Genomic DNA, 8876 nt, shown 5'->3' with positions numbered 1-8876 from the left:
AGGTTTGCTAAATGCAACACCAAGAGCACAACCATACAAGAAAAAATTAAAGAATTGGACTCAATCAAAATTTAAAACTTCTGCTCTTCAAAAAAACAAAAGGAGAGAGAGAGAGAGAAAAGCCACAGACTGGGAGAAAATACTCACAAACCATATATTTAATAAAGGCCTTGTATTCATAATATGTACAAATTTTGAAAACTCAATAATGAGAAGAATAGCAATTCAATAAAAAGTGACCAAAGATTTGAACAGAAACTTTACTAAAAAATACAACAAAGAAGACAAGTAAGTAGACGAAAAGACATTCATTGTCATTAGACATTAAGACATTCATTGTCATTAGACATTAGGTCAAATTACCATGACTGAGTGTTGGTGAGGATATGGAGGAACTAAAACTTATACACTAGTGCTATATACTGCTTTGGGAGATGGCACATATGTTAGTGTCTTAAAAACTTAAAAAACATGTATCTGCCATATGATCCAGTCATTGCACTCTGGTATTTGTCCCAAATAAAGGAAAGCACTTTCTATACAAAGGCTTGTACACAAATGTTCATAGCAGTTTTATTCATAAAAGCCCCAAAACTGGCAACAACTCAAACGCCCATTAACAAGTGAATGGATAAACAAACTGTTGCACATCCATACACTGGAATTAAAAACATAGTGAACGAATGATATACACAACAACATAAATAAATTTCAATATAATTATGCTGTGTGAAAGAAGTCAGTCCGAACAAAAGAGTGGACACTGCATGATTCCATTGATATAAAATTCTAGAAAATGAAATCTAATCCATAGAGACAACAAGCAGATCAGCAGAGGGCAGTTGATAGGGGTGGATTGGGGGGATTACCAAGGGGCACAGGGAAAGTTTGGGGTGATGGATTTGTCCACTATCTTAATCGTGGGGATAGTTTCATGGGTGTATATGTATGTCAAACATCAAATTGAACATTTTAAATAGGACAGTTCATCATGTATCAGTTATACTTCAATCAAGCGGTTAAAATATATTAAAACAATTTAAAGGGGAAAAAGTAACTCCAGCTGTCAGCTGCCTTTAACAGGTCGGTTCTGCTGGACCCTGCGCCCCTGCACCACCCTGGCTTGGGCTCCTGGGCCTGGCATGTTGGCCACCACTTCCTATGTCTTGTGGACAAATGTACCCCACCTCCTCCAGGTCTCATTCCAGGAAAGTCACTTCAAATTCCACAGATGTGATTACGGAGCAGGGCAGGGGAAATGAGCAAAGCCCTCAGAGCACAAGACAGGCCAAGTCAGGGCGCAAGAGCCTCGGAAACAGCAAGAGGTGGGTGACAAGTGTCATCTTACTGCTCACTCATGCCCTATGATTTAATATAGTTTTGACATTTCTCCAGCTGAGTGGCAGCAAGAGCTGCAGCTGCATGAAATCGGGGGATAAAAGTCGGAGCAAAAGGCCTGAAACCTTGGATCCCTGTCATTTTGCCACCAGCTCTGCCAGAGTCCAGCTGGCACGGTACTGGAGAGTGAGAACAGGAACAGAGAGAGAGAGATTGAAAATCCCAAGAAACTGCTCCTTCCTTGAGAGTCCACTGCTGTTTCTTTGGCAGACGGGGCATCAGGAAGAAGCCATCCAGCTGCACAGAGGAGACCCCAGGCTGCTGGCAGTGGAGCCTGGGGGCTGCAGTCCCAAGCACTGAGCACCTACTATGTGCCAGGCCAGGGCAGGCCCCAGGGATGCTGCAGTAAACAAGACAGATGAGGCCCCTGCGCCCATGGACAATCATCCTGATGATAATAATAATGATAATAAAGTAACAGTCCCCTGTGCCTGGCACCGGGCTAGGTGCTCCACTCTAGTGGTTCCCATGCAGGGGCCATGCTGCCCCCGAGAGGAAATTTTTGACGCATCTGAAGACATTTTCAGTTGCCATATCCGGGGGTGGGAGGTGCTACCGGCATCTAGTGGGTACAGGACGGGGATGCTGTTGATCACCCTGTGATGCACAGAACAGTCTCCACAATGTGGAATTATCTGGCCCAAATACCTCAGTAGTGCCCAGGCTGAGGACCCCTACTCCAGACTCATTTCTCACTTAACTCTCACAACACAACTGAGGCCCAAGTCACCTACCATGACACACCTGTGGAAAGGCAGGTTAGGACTTCAGCCAGGTCTGCCTGTGCCCCGAGTCTATACTCTGACCCACAGCATGGCGCAGCACCCCTAGCACACAACACAGAATACGCTGGAAGCCCAGTGTTCTGAGTTCAAGTCCCAGTTGATCCCTGTAAAGAAATGAGTGAGTCATTAAACCTGTCTAAACCTGAGCTCTTTACTTTGAAAATTGGGTTCATAACCCCTGGGCTGGATGAGCATAGAGTGAAGGAAAAGCTTCCCCACTGGTGGAAATGTTGGGGAAAACACACATGATTTCACGTTCATTCATTCATTTACCAAATCTTCACTGAGCATCTGATGCTGCACTGGAGATAAGCCGAGAACAAGATACAAGAAGTCCCTGCTCCCGGGGCACTTATGTTCTGGAGGATTCTGGGACATTTGGATAATCAGGCCACTATCTCCAGGAAGGCGGGGCCGTCCCCAATGGGGAAATGTTGTCACTGTCAGCCCTCTCACCTAATAGGGTTCCTGGAAGTAGATAAGAAACAAAAGCTATTTCTGTCCCTCCCAGTGACTTCTATACCCAGCACTGGGCCCTCACCCTCTTTCTCTTCCTGCAAAATGCAAACTTTATAACGTTTCATTTTTAAAAGCTCTGAGTCTCCAATGCAGTTTGAACTCCACGCTCAGCGATACTCTACTAGGTTGGTGGTGTTATTGCTGTGGCTTTCTTGTATTTTTCTTTTCAACCACCTGCCATGACATCATGTCCACACGACCTGAATTCAAGGGAGTAGCTCTTTCCTTCCCTTCTCCCCTTCATCCATCTGCACGTGGCTGCCCAGTTAATCCTCCTGGAGCCCACACATAAGATCCTGAATCCCACCCAAGCCTGTGCTGGGCCCTGAACTGTAGCCCAGGTCCAAGCCCCAAGCCGCTGCATCCCAAAGCCAGCCCCACCCACAGCTTCTGACCACCCTCCTTCGCCTCACACATTCCTCCTTGAAGACCTGGGCTTTGTCACATCAGGCAAGCCCCTGCCCCAATCTGGGCCTCAGTTTCCCCATCTATGGGATAAGTTCTAAATAGAGGAACCATCCAAACACCCACACCTTTCACTACCAACTGTGAAGACGCGACCTCCCTGACTCGTGATGGGGCTGCACTGGGCAGGACAGTGTGCCCTCCATCTGTGTCCCTGGCACAGGGCTTGGTCGCAATAGGGCAGCATGGCGCGTGGTTCTGAGCATGAAGCTGAAGTCAGACAGGCTGGGCTCAAGTCTGGACTTTGCTACCCAGGTAGTCGGGCACTTTGCTTCTAAGGCTCTCCAGTACCTCATCCCTAACATGGAGACAGCTCCTCCGAGGGCTGTTGTGAGGATCCCGGCCAGTGCCTTCTTGGGGTGCCACCCCCCACCCCTACCATCACCCCTACCCCCACCTCTTCTGGACCCGGAGATGACCCCCGCCCCGCACTTGCACGTGTTGTGTGGCCACGCCCTTGCCACAGCTGGCTGGACTGGGGCAGACACCTGACCCAAGGCAGACCAATCAGCTCAGGGTTGGCCCGAGAGCCGGACCTGGGCCCAGGGCGCCTGTAGGACCCTAGTGAGGGAAGGAAGAAGGTGGAGGGAGGGCAGGAGAGAGACAGCATGGAGCTGGGACCAGAGAGGGAGGGAGGGAAGGAGGGAGAGCGGTCCCCTCCAGTAGGCCCAGGCTCCACCAGACGTCTCCAGGGAATCAGGTCCCAGGTATGATTTAAGCCAGCCCCAGTGGGTTTCAGTCCCTCCCAGCAGAGCACCCCATTCTCTGTCCTCAATCCCCGAAGGCAGACAGGTGTCATCCTCTCCCCGCTCCTCCCCAGCCCTCTGGACCTCCTGCTGTCTTCTCTGCCGTCTTTACTGGACCCAATCTTCCCAGAGGCCAGGCTCCTGATAGGTCCTCAGTCATGTTTTCTGGAGGAATAATGGAATGAGTGACTGAGCGAGTGAGTGAGTGAGTGACAAAACCTCGGAGGCGCCCCCAACAATAGAAAGAGCCAGGGCCGAGGGGCAGGCAGAGCTGGGCTTGGGTCCTCCTCTGCTGCTCTCGACCTCCCTGAGCCCCCACCTCCTCACCTGCAGCCGAGCCCGGTGGCCACCCAGTCATTTGCCTGCTGCGTGAGCACTGTGGCTTAAGCTTTCTGTAAAATCGCTTTCATTTTAGTAGGAGATTGCAGATCTAGGCTCAGCTTCCTTCTTCCTCCTGAATATCTCGAAATGTGCCTGCTTTTAGAAGCCATGGGTGCTGGGGACAGCCAGGAGACAGGGATCCTTCCCAGCCCCCGCCCCCTGCCATTGCCCCGGTTGGGGAGGGAGAGGAAAAGAGCCTTGGTTAACCATACATGTGAGCCCAACTACTCGGGGAGAGGAGCTGAAGTTGTTTATCCGTTATTTTAAAAAATCCTTTCTGTCTACATCTGTCTTTTTCCAGTACTCAAATTTCAACCCCTACATCATGTACCACCCCCACCCCCCCTACTCTTTCCTGGGCAGGTCCGTAGACTGGCCTGCGGAGGTGCCTGGACGGTGCCCTTGTTCTCTGTCCTCTGACTCCCAAGGGCCTGAGCGCTGAGCCTCAAGAGAAGACAGCTGGGTGCAGGAGAATGGCTCAGCTAGTTCCCAGTTCAAGGTCTTTGGCAGATTACTCCATCTCCATGGACCTGAGTGTCTTCATCTGCAAAATGGGAATGATGACTTCGGAGGGCTGTGGTGATGACTTGGGAGGAAGCACTGAACCCAGCACCTGGCACAGAAGTCGCTCAACCCTGTGAGCCCACGGCTCCTCCCTGCAAAGACAGAGCAACATGAAAAATCTTTTGGAATATTTCAGTTGTAAGTAATAGAAAAGCCAACCCAAATCAACTTAAGCAAAAAGGAATTTTTTTGTGTCCAAGGTAACTGTAAAGTGTGTGGAGATTTCAGGCGCAGCCACGACACCTGCCCATATCAACAAGAGACAGAAAGACAAAGCTGAGCCTCCCAGCGCTCATCACTGTGGGAAATGGAGGCCCAAAGGCAGCCTTTCTCCTGAGATTGGGGGTAGTCACAGGGTGCTGGGCTAAAACAGTCAGGTGCATTTCCCTGGGCAGATGTGTATCTCTGGGTGGGGACACAGAGGTGCTCACAGCCAGTGCTGGGATGGCCCCTCCCAGGGCTCTGGGAAGGTAATGCTGACCCAAGGGGAATGATGCTAAGCAAGGATTCCGGGCACCCAGGGAGGCTGTTTTAAAGCAAAGAGCATTCACCTTGCTTGCAGGCAAGCACAGCCCGTGGAGAGAAAGGTGATCTTGCAGCTCAGAGTGGCAAAGCCAGAAAAACCCTTAGAGAAAGGGCTCCAGAGGCCATCAGGGCCTGGGCTGGGCCCTGGCTGCCTGACCCGCAACCTTGCCCTCAAACCATGTGCTGCCCTGTACTCAGGGACTAATGCTGTGGATAGACAGACTGGTCCTAGCCCCAGACCTCCTCCTTCTTTGCTCTGAGAGCTTGAGCTTAGCCATCTCTGTTACCTAGCTCTGGCTTGGTCCCTAACCAGGCCTCTTCCTGGGATCAGGCTTGACAGGTCCTGAGGCCCCACCCTGTTCCTGAGCCCCCGACTCCACCTGCCCCATTACCCTGTCCACCAAGATTCTCCCTTGCCCAGCATCTGCAGTACTTTGTCACAACCATGACAGTATCGGTAATAATAATAATAAATAATAATTATGGCTAACATTTAGTGAGTACCGACTATGTGCCAGCCCTATGCTAAATGTTTCTCATGGATTATCTCATTTAATCTTTTGAACAGCCCTCAGATGTAGAGATTCTGGGTTAATTTGCTGAAAATCCATTTAGCAAATATCAATTCATCAAATGACCGATTTAGCAAAAATCAATTTGTCCAATGATCCATTAGATACCCAGTGACAGGCAGATACATCAGCCCTGGTCTGGGCCTGGAAACCAGGCCGCCATTTCACCAGAGAGGCAGAAACAGAAGCAGGCAGCGGCTATGAAGGACCTGTGTCTGCGAAGACCAGGACTTCAGTGGCTGCTGTTGAAAGTGAAGCCCACCCATTTAATGAGTTGCTTTTCTGTGGATGGGCTTCCTGAGGTGTAGGAACTGAGGCTCAGAGAAGCTGGGTAACTTGTTCAAGATGACCCAGCCGATGAGTAGGTGCAGAGATCAAGAGCCACTCTTACAGCCCAGGAACTGCAGGCTCTGCTTCCACTCAGATATCCATGCTGAGGGTTCTCCTGCAAGTTGCTTCCCCTCTCCAGGCCTCATCTTCCCCATGTGTGAAGAATGGAGTTGGACCGGATTATTTTTGACACCCTCCTGGGCTGACATGCTGTATTAGTCCATTTTCACGCTGCTGATAAAGATATACCCAAGACTCGGTAATTTATAAAGAAAAAGAGGTTTAATGGACTCACAGTTCCACGTGGCTGGGGAGGCCTCAGGATCATGGCAGAGGGTGAAAGGCACATCTTACATGGCAGCAGTCAAGAGAGAACTTTTGCAGGGAACTCCTCTTTATAAAACCATCAGATCTTGTGAGACTTACTATCATAAGAATAGCATGGGAAAGACCCACCTCCATGATTCAATTACCTCCCACCAGGTCCCTCCCACAACACATGGGAATTATGGGAGCTACAGTTCAAGGTGAGATTTGGATGGGGACACAGCCAAACCGTATCACATGCTATGAAACCAAAGACAGTTAGGAACCTGCCCCAAGTCACACAGCAGGTCAGCAGGAGAGCGGCTCCTGCCCTCAGTCTCCTGCCCCCTGCTTAGGGCCTAGGCCTTCTCCTGCTGCCTCAGTCACACCCACACCCTGCCAGGACACCTCCTGAGCATTAATCTAATGGAAAGGCTATTTTTGTCACTTTGCAAGGCCAAAAACATTGCCTATGTCAGGAGATCCCCACCCTGCCCTCTCACCCACCCCTCCTCAAATCTCCAGGTCCAGTCCAAGGCCACACTGCCCCAGAAGGGCCCCTGAGTATCTCAAGCCAGGCTCATTCATCTTTTTTTCCATTAAATATCTTCTGTCTGAGCTTAGTCCTCAGAGCTCATGAGGGGATTAACCAGGATAATGCAGCTTCAGTACCGCCTACAGGCAGAGTGACAGCACCAGCTAACACTCCACTGGGCACTTACTGCACACAGCCCTGTGCTTAGCACTTCACATGGTGTGTTGACTTACTGGAGCCTCACAGCAAACCCATTTCACATTGTACAGAGATGCAAACCGAGATGAACTCAGTGTGGCCCTTGTAACAAGGCAGGACCCATCACATGGTGGGTGCTCCATAAATGTTCCTCCCCAGCCCTTCTCCACACCACCTTTATTCTGTAGACCAGTGGTTTTTAAAGTGGGGTTCCAGGAGAGAAGTGGGAAGCCAAGGCTGGAGGATTGCTTGAAGCCAGAAGCTCAAGACCAGCCTGGGCAACATAGCAAGACTCCATCTCAAAAAAATTTTTTTTAATTAGCCGGAAATGGCAACGCATGTCTGTGATCCCAGCTACTCAGGAGGCTGATGTGGAAGGATTTCTTGAGCCCAGAAGGTCAAGGCTACAGTGAGCTATGATTATGCCACTGTACTCCAGCCTGGGCGACAGAGTGAGATTCTGTCTCTAAAACAATAAAACTTTAAAAAAAAAGAAATGCAAATTGTCAGTCTCACCCAAGATGCTATGGCCTTTGAGGGCCTGGACTCTAAAAGCAGACTGACTGGCTCTGACACTTCACACTGCCATGCCTTCCAGCAAGTCACTTAATCTCTCTGCCCCTCAGTTTCTCCGTCTGTCAAAAAGAAATGATAATGAGAAAACTGAGGCTCAGACAGGTTCTATAACTTACACAGGGTGGCACGTTCAGCATTTGGTGGAGTCAGAAAATGAACCCAGGGGGGCCTGGCCCCGAGGCCTGCACCCTTCACCATTCCCTATTACCGCCTCCCCATATGGGCTCTCTCAACCTTGTAGCAGCCCCTGTTCTTATGTGTGTCTGTCCAGCCTGTCCACACAGTGGAATGTGTTGGCAGGAGGCAGCACATACCTGTGCAGGTATATGGAACCAATAGCATGCTCAGGGACACAGTTATTCCTACCCCTACACAGTTGGGCTTTGGAGGAGCAATTGAGCGTGTGCTCCTGTCACTCCCTAGATTCTAGGTGTCTGAGCAGAAACCCTGTTTGTTTAGCTCTTTGACCACACTGCTGCTAGGGACTGGTACTTGCTAGGTGCTCAGGACCCAGAAGAAAGCGTATCGCTGAACTGAGAGCAGGCATTCTCCCAGCTTCTGCATAGAACCATGTCCCACTCAGGAAGCTTGACGACGGGCAGCTCAAAGGTCATGAGGACCCAGGCTCTTAGGCACTTTCGTCCCGACTGAGGCCCTTGAAGTCCTTCTTGTGGCTTCCCAAGTGCAGGTCAGTGGCAGCAGGAGGGAGAACAGAGCTGCCTCCCCACTCTGATCGTAGGTGACCCGTTGGCTGTTGAGCCCACCTGAGACACCCAGTGGCTCTCAGGGAGCTTGCAAGAGACCAGATTCCCTCTAAGGCAGGAGGGCCTCAGAGCTGGCGAAATCCAGGTCTCCCTGTTACCTCCTGCATTTCTACCCTAGGGCCTGAGAAGCCTGCAGACATTCAGAGGCCATGGCCACCAAGCCAGGAGTGCCCTTCCTCCAGTGTCCCCGCCATGCCAGCCCCCTGCTGTCC

The 8876-nt window shown here is 50.5% G+C and overlaps 1 annotated feature.

The window, feature by feature from the left end:
* Positions 2591-3561: an enhancer, noted in NCBI's record as "H3K4me1 hESC enhancer chr1:30283373-30284343 (GRCh37/hg19 assembly coordinates)". NCBI's record gives its function as "activates a minimal SCP1, AML or CMV promoter by ChIP-STARR-seq in naive H9 embryonic stem cells {active_cell/tissue: H9 hESC(naive)}" and the evidence as "EXISTENCE:reporter gene assay evidence [ECO:0000049][PMID:30033119]".

This window comes from Homo sapiens, chromosome 1 (assembly GCF_000001405.40).
Source record: "Homo sapiens chromosome 1, GRCh38.p14 Primary Assembly".
Lineage (NCBI taxonomy): Eukaryota > Metazoa > Chordata > Mammalia > Primates > Hominidae > Homo > Homo sapiens.
Note: the sequence above shows the minus strand (reverse complement) of the source record. Positions and strands in the feature narration are given on the sequence as shown.